This window comes from Homo sapiens, chromosome 3 (assembly GCF_000001405.40).
Source record: "Homo sapiens chromosome 3, GRCh38.p14 Primary Assembly".
Lineage (NCBI taxonomy): Eukaryota > Metazoa > Chordata > Mammalia > Primates > Hominidae > Homo > Homo sapiens.
The window spans coordinates 193,280,399-193,297,251 of record NC_000003.12 but is presented as its reverse complement, the minus strand read 5'-3'; the positions used below and the strand labels follow the sequence as shown (position 1 = coordinate 193,297,251).

General features: G+C 38.8%; 2 protein-coding genes across 5 annotated transcripts in view; one reads left to right on the top strand and one right to left on the bottom strand.

Moving 5' to 3' along the window:
- The window catches only part of ATP13A5 (ATPase 13A5), a 103,965-nt gene that overhangs the window by 81,502 nt on the left and 5,610 nt on the right, over window positions 1-16,853 (top strand). For 3 of the 4 annotated variants that reach the window (NM_198505.4, XM_047448075.1, XM_017006305.1), the window contains 2 exons: window positions 7,193-7,367; window positions 12,136-12,338. In NM_198505.4, coding sequence (NP_940907.2) covers window positions 7,193-7,367; window positions 12,136-12,338 — 378 coding nt within the window. Of the gene's footprint in view, window positions 1-7,192; window positions 7,368-12,135; window positions 12,339-16,853 lie in introns of those variants that run through there. The other variant, XM_011512770.3, reaches the window with a different exon arrangement.
- The window catches only part of PLAAT1 (phospholipase A and acyltransferase 1), a 40,821-nt gene continuing 39,793 nt past the window's right edge, over window positions 15,826-16,853 (bottom strand). The window contains exon 5 of the mRNA XM_011513035.3: window positions 15,826-16,094. Coding sequence (XP_011511337.2) covers window positions 16,088-16,094 — 7 coding nt within the window. The 3' untranslated portion in view covers window positions 15,826-16,087. The remainder of the gene's footprint in view (window positions 16,095-16,853) is intronic.

Here is a 16,853-nt window from a genome sequence, read left to right as displayed (position 1 = left end):
GACGAGAAGGCCATGGTCTCTTCTTCACTTCCCTTGAGTCACCTACTCTCCACCCCTGTTTCTGGGGAAGAAGAGCAACAAGAAGAAAGGACTTATTTTTATGATTTTTGTGTTCTTTTTTCTGCTGCAAATTTTAAGTTCCAGGGTACATGTGCAGGATGTGCAGGTTTGTCACATAGGTAAACATGTGCCATAGTGGTTTGCTGCACAGTTCAACCCATCACCTAGGTATTAAGCCCAGCATCCATTAGCTATTCTTCCTGATGCTCTCCTTCCTCCTTGCCCTTCCCAACAGGCCCCAGCGTGTTTTGTCTCCCACTATGTGTCCATGTGTTCCCACTGTTCAGCTCCACTTATAAGTGAGAATATGCAGTGCTTGGTTTTCTGTTCTTGCATTAGTTTGCTGAGGAACAAATGGAAAAACACTCCATGCTCATGGATAGGAAGAATCAATATCATGAAAATGGCCATACTGCCCAAAGTAATTTACAGATTCAATACTATTCCCATTAAACTACCATTAATATTCTTCACAGAATTAGAAGAAACTATTTTAAAATTCATATGAAACAAAAAAAAAGAGCACGAATAGCCAAGACAATCATAAGCAAAAAGAACAAAGCTGGAGGCATCATGCTACCTGACTTCAAACTATACTACAAAGCAACAGTAACCAAAACAGCATGGTACTGATACAAAAACAGACACAGAGACCAGTGGAACAGAATAGAGAACTCAGAAATAAGACCGCACATGTACAACCATCTGATCTCTGACAAACCTGACAAAAACAAGCAACGGGGAAAGGATTCCCTATTTAATAAGTGGTGCTGGGAGAACTGGCTAGCCATATGCAGAAAATTGAAACTGGACCCCTTCCTTACACCTTACACAAAAATATCCTGTCAAATGCCCTCAAACATGGCAACACCCACATTTAGGCAATAGGCACGGGGTTCATTGGTGAATTCATCAGAGCTTCCCTGTGGATAGGTATGGACTAGACCACACCCTGACATAGTGGTGCTCTCTCCCTCTGACTTCTCAGGATTCCTTTCTGCAGCTGCCTCCTAGTGGTACATACCATGAAGCCCTTTTCTACTACTGGGCCCTCCAACCCCCAGCAGGCTGCCACATTCATAAACTCCTTCCAGGATAGCTAGCTCTAGCCTGGCTAATTTCCATGGCTTCTACTTAACCTACCAGACAGTAAATAGCTTGCTCTCGCTGCTGCCTGCCCTTTCCCTCTGCTATTACCATGAAGGGGAGTGAGCAAGGCCAATATCCTCTCTTAAAACCACTTCCAGTCTCTCTAACAGTGGCTCTTATGACTTCCCCTCATGGGGTTGTGGTGATGCTGAGAAGAAAACCAGTTTACATTGCTCCTAACAATTGCCTTTAAAGAATTGCTTGATAATCTCCATAAGTTTTATCTTGTACAGACAGCATGCAGCGAATGAGGCAGGAACAGACATGCTTATAGTTAAATAACCAATATGGATCTCTCTTGCTAGACACTATGGAGATATGGCGATAATCTCTCTTCACAATAAATTGGCACTTGCAATTCACTGTCCTCACATATAAGGCTCGGCACAATTTTCTAGACAAGAGAAGCACCATTCAACATTCCCTTATACAAGTGTTCATCTCTCACTGTATATTAGCCACGTAGGTTCCTGAGGCATGAGAAGGCTGATTGTTCAAGTTCAGAGTTCAGTGGGGGATTCACATACATGAACAAATAAGATGCAAGTTGAAAGTAGTGAGTAGCAGAAAACAGCAGATGCTTTGGGAGTCCAGAGGAAGAAGAGATGGCTTCCGATAATCTGGGGTTAAGGAGGAGATAGCAGTGGAGAAAGGAGAAAGATACTAGGCATGGAGGCATGAAAGCAGTAGCATTCACATCAAAATAGGAAAGTTGGATAAGTTTCAAATATCTTTTGCTAAAAGAAGAGCATTTCAAGTAGAAGGAAGCAGCATGAGCAAGAGAAAGCTGATAAATATGGGGTATGAGCTTTTAATGTGACCACACTGCAGCGTATGTGAAATCTTTTATTGAAAAATTGAAAAAGTGAATTGGGTCAAATCACAGAGAATCTTGACTGCTGGTCTGAGAACTGTGGACATTTATCTGCAGCCCTTAGGAGTCATCAACAATTGATGATCAATGTAAAATTACAGATGTCCCCGATTTATGATGGTTTGACTTATGGTTTTTGACTTTACAATGGTGCGAAAGTGATGCATATTCAGAAGAAAGTGGCATGATACTCTCTTAGGATGCTGGGCAGTGGCAGCACGCTGCAGCTCTCAGCCAGCCAAGCAATAATGAGGTTAAACAACAGACACTTTACATTGTACTGTGTTGCTAGATGATTTTGTTCAATTGTAGCCTACTTAAGCGTTGTGAGCATGTTTGAGCTAGGCTAGGCTAAACTATGGTATTCGGTAAGTTAGGTGTACAGCATAAATGTATTTTCAACTGAAAAATGTTTTCAATTTACAATGGGCTTATCAGAATGTAACCCCATTGTAAATCAAAGAGTATCTGTATTCTCATTACGGCTTCTTACATTTCCAGGTTTCCAGGTTAAGGCTTTTGGCCTTAACTCTGACTTGGTTCTGGGAAGAGACAATACCATCACATATTTGATTTATTTACTTATTTATCTATACACACCCTGCCTTGTTCCCACAAGGTTTTAAGGCAATGTACAGAGACAAAATATAATACATTACAGAGAAAATCTAAAAGAGAAATAAGATGAAGTGAGGAGGGATGTTGATCAGGCAATGCATGTCTGGAAGTCCAATTTGACTCTATTTTGTGTAGCGGCATTTTTAAGGAGCTTGTTTTGCCACATCTCTGTCCTCTTCAACAAGAACTCCTCAAACTAGATCAAGAAAATAGAGGGAGGGTTTGTTTAAGAACATAATTCTCAAAAAAATCTAAGAACAGGAACTTGGAAGCACCTGGATCTGAGGATGACTAGAACACTAAAGGATAAAAATGGAGGTCACTTTCTTTATTTCCAGGTGGCCACCTTGTGTCTCTTCTTCTTTCCATTCTTACTGTTTCCATCTGTCTTCCATTTATTCACCCTACAGCTGACCTCATAAAATGACACTAGGACTGGGGCTTTGCAGCCTTTATGTTTGTTTTCTTATAGCTAATGAGCTCAGCCTTTCATTGTCCTATTTGCAAATATTTTGAAGAGAAAATTTATCGACCTGACGTGGGTTAGATGCCCACCTCTAGGCCCCTCATTTCTCTGAATGAAGGTGGGATCGTGAAATTCAGATCCATTTAGGCCAGCCATTCCAGCCCCTAGGAGAAGGCAGTATCCAGAGAAGGAGGTGCAGGAGGGACTCACCCATTATAGAAGTGCATCTCGTACACCCCATCTGTGTTTCAATGACTCCTAATCTTTTCTGGGTCTTGGTCCCCTTAAATAATCTGATGGAAAATACAAACCATTTCATCTTAGAAATCTCATGATACCCATTTGAAATTCTGCATGTAGTTTAGGTGGGTTCATGAACCTCCTGAAATTTGTCTTATATGATTTTCAGTGTTTGGAATAAAAAGTAAACCAACTACTTAGGAGAAACACAACTACGAGATAGCCAAATGATGCCAAATAATTAAAAACTATAAGAATAGAATTTGAAACTGCGAAGTCTTCCCATGCAATAGATCCTGTGCTGGGTTTAGTAAGAAACAGAATGTGGAATGAGACAGGATTTCTTCCTTCAGGGAGCTCACAGTCTGCTGAGTGCAGATGTAAACAACTAGATTTAATGCAAGACACCCTGCACTATAGCAGCAATGTGAGTAATGTGTTGTGGGAACTCAGAAGGGAGAATGATTAATTTTGAATACCATATAACACTTCAGAAGTTAGTATTCCTCTGAATGCAATCTGATAGCATATATCATCATCATTTTAAGGAAACCCAGATAATGCAGAAAAGTTTTATGGGGGGATCCTCATAAATGGTACTACTGTCCAAGCTTGTATTGCAGGGCTTGCCATTTTGTTCTTTTAATTTTTGAGATGCATCATACTGCAATATGCTGTAGAGTGGAGAACATAGGGCTTCACAATCAGAAATACTGGGGTTTCCAGTGCCATGCTGTCACTCACTAACTGTGGGTCTTTAAGCAAAGGAAACTACTTTTCTGAGCCTCAGTTTCTTCACCTGTAAAATTTACCTACTTTGCTTTCAAGGAAATAAAAATCATGTTTATAAACACTTATTAGAGCCTCTGGAACCTAACAGATGTCCTACAATGGTAGCTATAAAATTATTTTATTTATAATCAGGTATACAGATTCTCTGTCAGAAGTAGTAAGAGTCTCTAACATGGAAAAAGTCAGAATATTCTGCATAAGAACCCTGTATGCATTAGGTATTGCCTCAATAATGCTGCATAACAACCCACCCCCAAAACTCAGCATTTATACCATCAGGCAGTTATTCTCCCCATTCATGGGTTTGTAAGTTGATTGTCATTTAGCTGATCTAGGTCAGCTCAGCTGAGCCAGTCCGCTCTAGTATGTAGATCAGTTGATCTTGGTTAATGCTTTTGGATTTGATTCAGGTCTACTCCACATTTTTCATTCTGAGGCCAGGTTGAACGGACAGATTTGGTATTTTCTCATTGTGAGTCACAAAAAGCAGAGCCACAGGGCAAGCCCGGCTGTGCAAGCATGCTTGAAGTCTATGCTAACATCTCTTTGGCCAGAGAAAGTCACACAGGGAAGCCCAAAATTAAGGGATGACAAAATACACCCCACCACTCTGAAGCCAGCAATTCAGTCTACCACAGTTACTGTGTAAAAGAAAGGCAAGAAACTACAATGAGCATGAGAGAGAAGACCAAAGAGGTAGAAGCCAGATGCACAGAGAAGCAATTTTACTCTCTCCACTACCTGCAGCCTCTTTATGAATTTATAGCTACATTCTGCTTTGGATACTGGAATACAGAGAGAACTCCAAGCACTAAAGCCTCTGCCTTCTGTGACCTGAAAGCACAATTTCCTTGCACTTCTCCTGAGCCCTGATCACAGTCCACACTGTGTACCCCTTCTTCGTGGACCCAAGCAATGGCTTCTGACACCAACCACCCAGAATTAGGCCAAACTTTACAGATTAAGGGTAAAGCCTCCACAAGAATGCCCTCACTTCAGACACCAGCCACAGGTGTGGGGCTCTCGATACCACCTGAACTTCTGATTAGTTGGCTACAAACTTAGGAGTTCCCATTACTCCCTTGGGTTCAACAATTTGCTACAATTTACAGAACTCAGGAAAGTGTTATACTTATGATTGCAGTTTTATTATAGCAAAAAGACAAAAATCAGAACCAGCCAAAGGAAGAGACACCTAGGGTAAGGTCTATTAGGGGTCTCAAACAAGAGAGACACTTCCATTGTCCTTTCCCTGTGAAGTCAGGATGCCTCACCCTCTTGGCACATCGATGGGTGACAATATGCAGAGTACTACCAACCAGGGAAGCTCAACTGAGCTTCGGTGTCTGGAGTTTTTATTAGGGTTTCATTATGTAGACATGATTGATTGAATCATTGGCTGTGAGGTCAAACTTAGTCTCTAACCCCACTCCCCTATCTGGAGGTCAGGCTGATATCCTGTGGATCAAAGTTCCAACCCTCTAATCACAGATGGTCTTTTGGGCGTTGGCAGGACCCTTCCTGAGTCATCTTAACACAAACGCTCCTCATTCCCACCATGAGTCATCTTGTTAGCATAAACTCTCAAAGCCCACCGTGCATAAGAAAAATACTCCTATCACTGAGGGCATTTCAAAGATTTAGAGGATACATCCCAGGAAAAGCCAGCCAGCTTCTTTATTACACAATCTGTCTGTGTCTTTCATGGACTTCAAACTCTTTGAAGGCAGGTGGAATGTCCTTCTCATCTCTGCATACCCCACAGACTCTAGCCCAGCACCCTGCCGGGAAAACATTGATTGATCTGGTATAGGTAAAGACTTAGTCATAGAGCTTTAGAATAAAAGAGTTGAAAGGGCCTTTGGGTACCATTTAGGCATTCCAACACATTTTATATGTGAGAAAATGAAGGACCAAGGAGTTTACATGATTACCCCAGAACACATATTGAACAAAGCAAAGAAATACTATAGAGTTTTATCATCCCACATTGGACACTCATTTACCACTACTCTACCTGTACACTCATAAATACAAACTTAAATATGCACACCCCACTTCTTCCCTTACATCAAACAAACCAGTGATAAGCTGTGAGAAGGGAAGAGGTGACAGGTATGAAGACAGGAACTGAAACATGACTACAATATCAGTCTTTAAATTCAAATTCCTGTCCTCCTCATGCTTCCTTCCTGCTCTGCCTTGAGAAGCAAATACATTTCATTTTCATCAGCATGTTCATATATGTAGCTACTAAGGATGTAGTCGTCTTTTTAAAATAGTTGTTCTTTTTAATTTCTGCCCATTTCCAAACGCTTTAAATTTAAAAAAGCCCTGAAATCAAAAATACAATATAGTTTAACACTCTCATCTAGAAGCAATATTTTTCATGAGTTCTTTTTCTTAATGTAACATACATCAGCAGTCCCCCATTCACCTGTGTATCCAGAGAGATACTTAATGCATCTCTAGCATCTATCACAGTGCCTGGCTCATTGACATGCTCAGAGAAAGTTGGCTGAATGAATAATAGAGTGAGTGTTTTTTTTAAATTATCCAGCATATGAAGATGAATCTGGCTATATTCCTCCTTATTCTCCTCATTCTAACTCTCCACTTTCCTGTCATCACTGAGACACAATATTAGTGTTGCTTATCCCACGAGCAAGGCCATTTCCCTCTTTTACACACAATTTCTGGTCAGTCTGGTTATGGAGGAAATAGTTGCACCATGCGATATGGTAAATATATTAATTACAAAACTTCCTAACCCACTTTTTTATTTCTGAAGGTGAAGACAGAGCATGGAAGAGACAAAGGCTGGTGGAACTGGATGTGCCACCAGGCAATGTGCTTACCTAGGTGTAAATCTTCTGTTCGTGTTTGCTTAGTCTGAATCCCAATGCCAGACTCAAGATAATATGCATCTCAATCTCAACCTTTTATTCTCAATGATAAGATTGTAATAGGAAAAAAATGTATTTGTCTTTCAGTGAGTTCAACTCATGCCTACCCAAAGCTGGCTCCATATAGACCAGCAGGACAGCTCCTTTCTCCCCCTTTACTGCTTTCAATATTTTTGAATTCCTGTTTCTCCTGCATTGTGCAGATCAGTGCATTTCTCTATGTGAAGCAGCAGCCTTGGTATTGTGAGGTCTACCAATACAGGTAAGTTCATTTTCTTAGTGCTGCTTTCGAAAGGTAATTTAATAAATATCCAATGACATTGCATAACTTGGCTTGAACATATATCCTAAAACTTTTAATTAATCAAATTGTGTCGCTGCAAAACTCAAATGATGGGACAGAACACAGTTAATCCATGGACTACTGGGGTGGAGTGGGTGGGAAGAGATCTGTCACACTGGTTGTTAATGTATAGATCTAACAACTGGTTGGCTGAATGAATATATTCCCTGGTATTCTGTTTATTTTATAGACCAGGGGTTGGCAAACATTTCTTAGAGGGCCGGATAGTAAATAGGCTTTGTGCACTACATGGCCTCAGTTGCAGCTAGTCAACTCCACTGTTGCAGCACAAAAGCAGCCTTAGACAATAGGTAAACAAGTGGGTGTGGCTGTATTCTAATAAAACATTATCTACAAAATCAGGTGATGAATCAGATTTGGCCTGTGGGCTGTAGTTTGCAGGCCACTGATATAGACATATGAGAGAGATTTGTTTATTTTGTTTTTTCCCAAATGAATGTTAAAGTTAAAATGTGAATTGATGGTATCCTTGTTCTGATTGAATTGGACTAGAATCAGGACAAGTCTCTTTACCTCCCTGGGCTTTAATGTTTTTGTGGTAGGCTATAGCGCCGATGGCTCAAGCTTTATTTTGCTGACAAAGTCTTTCTGCCGATAAAAGAAAAGGCAGGAAAAGAGCTGCTCTCTTTGAAATAGCAAATGTGCAAACTGCCCCTCACTCCACAGAGCACCAGAAATCAGTAAAACAGATTGAAAACTAGCAAATGATCAGATTGTCATTTAGATAAAAAATTTGGCAATTTAAGTATAACTAGGAATATAGAATCTCATTCTGTTTAAACACTAGATTTTTTCCAAAATTGGAGTGCATATACTCAGAGAACTCAAGTTTTGACTGAACCTAGAAGACAATATGTTGTAGCCAAAAGAGGATGGATAGGAAATCAGGAATTCTAAGAATTCCTGACTCTATCACTAACTAGATGTGCCATACTAGCCCTCAATTTTATTACCTTAATGTAAGTATATTGGACTAGATACTCTTTGGTTGTAAACTCTATAATTCAGGCCATCTAGTCTGTCTGTTCCTCTTTTTGTAAAAATGCTTTGTGACTATGGAACATCTACTACAGGCCTACGTCAGAGATATTGTGGGTTTGGCTCCAGTCTACCACGATAAAGTGAATATTGCAATAAAGCAAGTCACATGAAGTTTTGGGTTCCCAGTCCATATAAAAGTTATGTTTACACTATACTGTAGTCTATCAAGTGTGCAATAGCATTATGTCTAAAAAAGTACATGCCTTAATTTCAAAATAATTTATTGCTAAAAAATTCTAATGATCATCTGAGCCTTCAGCAAGTCATAATCTTTTTGCTGGTAGAGAGCCTTTACCTCAAGCTGAGCGGCTGCTGACTGATCAAGGTAGTGGTTGTTGAAGGTTGGGGTATAGCTGTGACAATTTCTTAAAATAAACAACGATGAAGTTTGCCTCACTGATTGACTCTTCCTTTCATGAGATATTTCTCTGTAGCAAGTGAGGCTGTTTAATAGCATTTTATCCCATCTCAGTACTTTCAAATTTGAAGTGAATTCTCGCAAACCCTGCTGATGCTTTGTCAAGTAAGTTTATATAATATTCTAAATACTTTGTTTTCATTTCAACAATGCTTACAACATCTTCACCAGGAGCAGATTCCATCTCAAGAAACCACTTTCTGTGCTCATCCATATGAAGCAACTCTTCATCCATTCAAATTTTATCATGAGATTGCAGCAATTCAGTCACATCTTCAGGCTCCACTTCTAATTCCAGTTCTCTTGCTATTTCCACCATATCTACAGTTACATCCTCCACCTAAGTCTTGAACCCCAAAAAGTCATTCAAGAAGGTTGAATCAACTTCTTCCAAACTTCCATTAATGTTGATGTTTTTACCTTCTCCCATGAATCATGAATGTTATTAATGACATCTAGAATGGTGAATTCTTTCCAGAAGGTTTTCAATTTTCTTTGCCCAGATCCAATAAATGAATCACTCTCTATGGCAGCTATAGTCTTAAAAAGTGTATTTCTTAAAAAATAAGACTTGAAATTTGAAATTACTCTTTGATCCATGGGCTACAGAATAGATGTGTATTAGCAGGCACGAAAACATTAATTTCCTTATACATCTCCATCAGTGCTCTTGAAGGGTGACCAGGGGCACTGTCAATAAAGAGTAATATTTTGAAAGGAATCTTTTTTTTCTGAGCAGTAGGTCTGAACAGTGGGCTTGAAATATTCAGTAAACCATGCTGTAAACAGACGTGCTGTCATCCATGCTTTGTTGTTCCATTTCTAGAGCACAGGCAAAGTAGAGTTAGCATAATCCTTAAAGGCCCTAGGATTTTCAGAAGAGCAAATGAGCATTGGCATCAACTTAAAGTCACCAGCTGCGTTAGCCCCTAATAAGAGAGACAGCCTCTCCTTTGGAGCCTTGAATCCAGTTATTGACTTATCTCTAGTTATTAAAGTCCTAGAAGACATCTTCTTCCAATAGAAGAGGCTGTTTCATTTCCACTGAGAGCTGTTTAGTGTAGACACCTTCATTAATTGTCTTAGTTAAATCTTCTGGACCACTTGCTGCAGCTGCTACATCAAGACTTGCTGTTTTACCTTGTACTTTTACATATGGAGACACCTTCTTTCTCTCAGTCTTAGGAACCAACCTCTTGCTAGTTTCAAACTTTTCCTCTGCAGCTTCCTCACCTCTTTCAGCCTTCAAAGAATTGAAGGGAGTTAGGGCCTTGCTCTGGATTAGACTTTGGCTTAAAGGAATGTTGTGACTGGTTTGATCCACTACCCAGACCACTAAAATTTTCTTCATATCAGCAATAAGACCATTTTACTTCCTTATTGTTCATGTGTTCACTGGAATAACACTTTTAATTTTCTTCAAGAACTCCTACTTTGCATTCACAGCTTGGCTAACTGGTGCAAGAGGCCTAGCTTTTGGCCTGTCTTGGATTTTGACATGCCTTCCTCACTAAGCTTACCCATTTCTAGTTTTTTATTTAAAGAGAGAGACACGTGACTCTTCCTTTCACTTGAACACTTAGAGGCCACTGTGGGGTTATTAATTGAACAGATTTCGATATTATTGTCTCTCAAGGAATAGGGAGGCCCCAGGAGAGGAAGAGAGATGCGGAAACAGCCAGTCAGTGAAGCAGTCAGACACAGACAATATTTATCGATTAAATTTGCATTCTTATAAAAGCACAGTTCGTGGCATCTCAAAACAATTATGATAGAAACGCCAAAGATCACTGATCACAGATCACAATAATAGAGGTAGTAATTATTTCGAAAAGTTTAAAACATTGCAAGAATTACCAAAATGTGACACAGAGACAAAGTGAGCACATACTATTAAAAAATGGTGCCAATAGACTTGCTAGATGCAAGGTTGCCACAAACATTCAATTTGTAGAAAAATGCAATATCTGGGAAGCAAAATAAAGTGAAACATAATAAAGCAAAGTGTGCCTGTATGTGCAAAAAGCATTTCTAGACTACAGGGAGCCCAGGATAATAAGTATTAAGTCTTGCATTTGAGTTCACGTTAGAAAATGAATCTTATTTATAAACAGTTGTAATAGTGGTTTAAAAGTTTCAAGCTGAACAAGAAAGCTGGTGGAAACTAATTTGTAGGTTTAATTATTGAAAAAAAAGAACATTGGAAATAGATCAATCAGGACTGGGAAAGCTCATATCTTGGACAAAGATTTTTTGAGTAAATATTATGTGACCTCACTTTGCTAGGTGCCAAAAATTTATTGTAAATCTAACTAAAACCAAAAAACAAAACCACAAAAAAATCCCATATTCTAGGAACTCTCATCCCAAAGATGTAAAATAAAATTATGTAAATAAAGAATTGCAAAACAATGAGCTTGCTATGTGTTATTGCCTTTAACCGAGATAACATTTTTTTAAATGTCTTTACTTTTGTGGGCACTAGTACCACTTGCCAGCAAAAGTAAAGGCATTTCAGATGCAGAGGTGTTTGAAGGACGGATGTTATATCGCAGTTAAAGGCAATAGCACATGCAACCCAACAGGTATGCAAATTGATACGTGGGGAACAGGGAATAATCCTATATGTTTGGAGTGTATAGAGCATGGGAGGAGTGGCAAAAGGTAAGACTGAAAAGGTAGATTGAGACAAGGATGCAAAGATCTCATAGGCCAGTTGGAGAAGTTTGAGCTTAATTTATCAGCAAAATAGAGCCGTAGACCCCTTATAAGCAGCAGACTGTCATGTTCAGATTTTCAGGAAGATCCTTTAGCTATCTGAGGGAAGTAAATAGGAGTGGCAGACTCAAACTCAAAACTCAAGTTAGGAGTCTTGTTTAGTCCACGAAAGAGAAAACCACACACACACAGTTTAATTGACATGGTCTATTTACTCTTTGAATTGATAGGAATTCATAAAATATTGTCATCCAGGCCCTTTCAAGGTAGATCACTTGTTCTAAACGGAGTGCCAGACAAAGAACAATCTTGACTTCCTTTTATTTCTGCTTTGTCATAGCAAGAGGTGAACAAAGTATGTCTTGGTAGTTACTGGCTGACATAGTTTGAAAGCTAAAATCCCATGGTAGTGATTAAATTATTTTTTTTTTCACCTAATGGACAAAAATGGAATCAAATGTTTCATAAACACTGGTGATTCTTTTGTAGTGAGTGTTTTCTGGCCAACCAAAGTAATTTTTCAACAAATGTGAGTTTGGAAAGAAACTGGACTGGAAATGCAACTCTGATTCCTGGTTCAATTTTAAGTTTTGAGACCACCACACTGTGGCCCATCACCACCATCAACTATATCACAGTAGCATTCATCTTTTCTAAGGGAAAGCCATTTCGAAAACCCATCTATACAAACTGTAAGTATATAAAGTTTAATTTTTCTTTCTGAATATTTTCCCATTCCCTTTCTCACCCTAGAGTTGTACCTCACTGGTGAAATGATGGGCTGAGGAAGAAACAATTGCATGACTCTAAAATTGTTGTTGAATGCAGTGGTCATCGTTGGTAGAGCCCACATGCAGAAAATCTGCTTGTTTGCAGATAAGCACAGACATTATTTAACTGTCACATGAGTCTTGTCCTATTGTGAGTCATCAAGAATCATTTTAAACACATACATGCATGTGAAGATATTTTATTAAAGGCTTTCTAACCAATTCAAATGCAAATTAACCTCTTTAGCCTTATAACATTGGGCAAGTTACTTTAACCATTCTATGACCTTATTTCCTCATCGGTAGAATGGGAGGGAGTATCCTTAATTTGTTAAGTCCTGAGGGAAGGACTAAACAAAGCATTTTATGGAATGGGCCTAGCACAATTTATGTAAAGGGTCTGGCACTTATAATAGGGGCTCAAAAAATCTTACTTACTTTCCCTGTGTATTAATTTAAGTAGAGTTTTTTAAAAACTCTTCAAAGCTACAATTAAGGTCCTCCCAGCTAAGGCTGGGAGTGGTGGCTCACTCCTGTAATCCCAGCACTTTGGGAGGCTGAGGTGGAAGGATCACTTGAGTTCAGGAGTTTGAGACTAGCCTGGGCAACACAGTGAGACCTTGTCTCTAAAAAAACACTTTTACAAATTAGCTGGGCATGGTGGCTCTTGCCTATAGTCTCAGCTACTTGGGGAGGCTGAGGTGAGAGGATTGCTTGAGCCTGGGAGGTCGAGGCTGCAGTGAGCCAGGATCACACCACTACACTCCAGCCTGGGCAACAGAGCAAGGCTCTGTCTCAAAAAATAATAATAATAATAATAATAATAATCCGCAGGCCAAAGAAGCCAGAGAATATGCCCCATCATTACTGATCAGACTGGGACACTCTTTAGGAGTGAAGTGAGACACTATTAATAATTATGCCAGGCTTAAATAGAGAATGTCAAGGCAAACTAGATACATGATACCTATCCAGATATTGCATGATAAAGATGGTCACCCTATCAAGCAATTGGCTTCAGTATGATAAATAATGCTATAAAAGTATACTTGTGTAAATTACTTTGACTTAGCCTCTTATTTCCTTAGGATAAGAAAATTCAGTTAACTGGTAAAATAGTGTGAAAATGTCAAAGCCTGGAATACACAATTTAAAGTTGCTTTCTAGAAAGTTTGTACTGATTTTCACTTCTATCAGTTGTTTTGGAGAGGGTGTGCTTCTTAATATTATATCCAACAGGAAGTACTAGTTAAAAAACAAAATTTGTGCTGGTCTGATAAGATTTTAGAAAACAGTGTCTTATTTGGTTTTAGTTTGCATTTCTTTGATCACCAGTGAGGAGAAACGTATTTTCATGTCATTAGCAATTTCTTCTTCTGTGAATTGTGTGTTTACATTTTTAAACTTATTTTTTTTCTGTTGGATTGCTGTTTCTCATTTATTTGTATGAGCTGTTTATTTTTTGTGATCTTTTTTCCATTGTCTTTATGCACAGGAAGTTTTTTCTAATTATGAAATAGGATAGATTATCACAATTAGTTTTAAAGTGCTTTTAAAATCTAATGTTAATTTTGGTGTATAGTTTGAGGTAGGGATTAAAACAAGTTGCTCCAACTAGTCAACCGGTTTTTCTAGCAGCTTTTATTGACTATTGAGTTTTTAATATTCAATTATTTTTCCACTGAATATACCACCTTCATCCTATCTTCATATATGTGTTTGTCTGTACATCATTTATATTATGCATTGTTTGTATGTGTATGTCTATATAGTTTCCATACTATCTTTTTTGTTTTTAAATATCAGTCTATTCTTGATTTACCACTATACTTTAAAACTTATAGTTTTATAATAAGTTTTATTTAATAAGTGGCAAGATCAGTGTATCCTCATTATTCCTCATTTTAAAAAATGTATTTATTTCTTTCCTGTTCATTCTTTAAGATAAACTCTAGAATAAATTGCCAGGCTTTTAAAATTTCCCTTTGGGATTTTGATACTTTGGGAAGAATTTACATTGGTATATAACTTAATCTTCCCATTTAGGAACATGTCATGTCTCCCCATTTATTCTTGCTTTTTGTTAAGGTCTCTTAGCAAATATTCGTTGTTTTCTCCATTACAAATCCTGCCTGCACATTTATTTAAGAAACTAATTGGGCCAGACGCGGTGGCTCATGCCTGTAATCCCAGCACTTTGGGAGGCCAAGGCGGGCAGATCACCTGAGGTCAGGAGTTCAATACCAGCCTGGCCAACATGGTGAAACCCCATCTCTGCTAAATAATACAAAAATTAGCTGGGGGTGGTGGTGGGCACCTGTAATCTCAGCTACTTGGGAGGCTGAGGCAGGGAGAATTGCTTGAACCCAGGAGGCGGAGGTTGCAGTGAGCTGAGATCATGCCACTGGACTCCAGCCTTGGCAACAGAGCGAGACTCCGTCTCAAAAAAAAAAAGAAACTAATCCTTTGTATTTTATATTTTTGCTTATATTGTGAATGACTTTCCCATTATATTTATTAACGAATTATTACTAATACACAGGAAATGTATGTTGTTATACATGAATAATTTTTAAAATTATAAATGTATTTTACAAGCAGAATATATTTGTTGCCTAGTACTTTAATTATTATTATTATTGAGATGGAGTCTTGCTCTTTCACCCAGGCTGGAGTGCAGTGGCACCATCTTGGCTCACTGCAACCTTCACCTCCCGGGATCAAGCAATTCTCTGCCTCAGCCTCCCAAGTAGCTGGGATTACAGGTGCCCGCCACCACGCCTGGCTAATTTTTTTGTATTTTTAGTAGAGGCGGGGTTTCACCATCTTGGCCAGGCTGGTCTTGAACTCCTGACCTCGTGATCCACCCGCTTCGGCCTCCCAAAGTGCTGGGATTACAGGGGTGAACCACTGCACCTGGCCTAGTACTTTAATTTTAATAGTAGCTGCAAAGTCCTTTTACATGAATTGAGTGAATTAGAGGTAGTTACCTCACAGTGACTTAAAGCTTGTGGGTAAATTCAAACCCCTATACCAGACATAACTGATAATTTTAAATGTAAAATGTTTTACATTTTAGCATACAGGTATGCTAACAAATGTAATAAGATAACAAACATATACTCTCAGGTTATAAGTCAAAAGCCTCTAGAACTACTATTAAAATATACAAGCAACTTTATTTTGATGTAACAGAAAACTCTTTGCCCTTTTTAACAGCCTTTGACAGAAGCTCAACTTTATGAAAAAGTAGAGGCTTAACTTTTCTGGAAACAAATGTGAACATTACTAACCTTACCTGAAAATAAAGTGTAATGGCTTACACAGGATTTGCTTTCCTAAAGCACCTGCATTAACAGAGCCCTATTCTTTCATGTTTCCTCAGCAGCAGCAACTAACCAAGAAGAGCCAACATTCAAATCTTTATTACATCTTTTCAATCAAAGCTGAATTTTAAAAGATGACCTTATAATTTTGTTTCTACATTGCTCACTTGTGCACAGGCGAGACCTAGTTTTTAGACCATTAGACAGTGATGTGCACCCCACTCAGCCCCAGTTGCTAGTGAGGTCTAGGACTTCATCAGAACAGACCTTTCAGGCGTCCTCTTCTTCCCAGCTTCTGCGTTCCTGGGACTCCAAATCCATGAAGTAAATGAAAAATCCACACAGCTATTTCCTGAAATCGTATCACCAAGCCATTTAGATTGCTTTATCCTGAGAGATGCAATTCCTACTTTTCTTCTGTCTGCCTCATACCCTTCCCAAGCACTTCTGAGACGTGCTGCATTTATTTATATACATAAAGTGAGGCATGAATAAATATTGAGGGTGTGTGTAGGTGCTCAAGGATGAAAACAGAACTCTGTTCACTTCAAAAATAGAGCCTGCTATCAAGGGGCAGTTGCCTCAGATTTCTGGTTGGTATAGGCCTGTAGAGAGTTGGGGGTGGGAGGAGTAGATCAACACTGAATAAATGAGGTAGAGTGTAAGAGAAAACCTAGTTTGTTCACTTATTTATAACTTTATAGGATTGTCAGAATCATTTGTATCATGGCAATGCTGATTAAATGCTGTTGTTTGGGCCTGAAGGTGATAATTCTATTAAAAAATAATATTTCTAAGGTACCGTCTCTAAAGTGCTCTGCTAAAGGCTCTGACAGAGGAGTGGGTGAGGTTGGAAATAAGAACAGAGATGCTGTCACAGTGCATCCGGGAAGTTTAGCTCCCAAAATTAAAACAATTTGGGCAGGATGGAAAGAAGAAATGCAACAGATGTACATGCTAATTTCTCATTTACTTTTTCAAGTCAGAGTTCCAGAGAACCAGAGATAAAGCCACTTTCAAATGGTCACAGTCCAGTTGATACATGAATTAAGATCATGCAAAGCAGAATATGATACATACTATATGAAATAAGCTTTTGTAAGGGAGTATT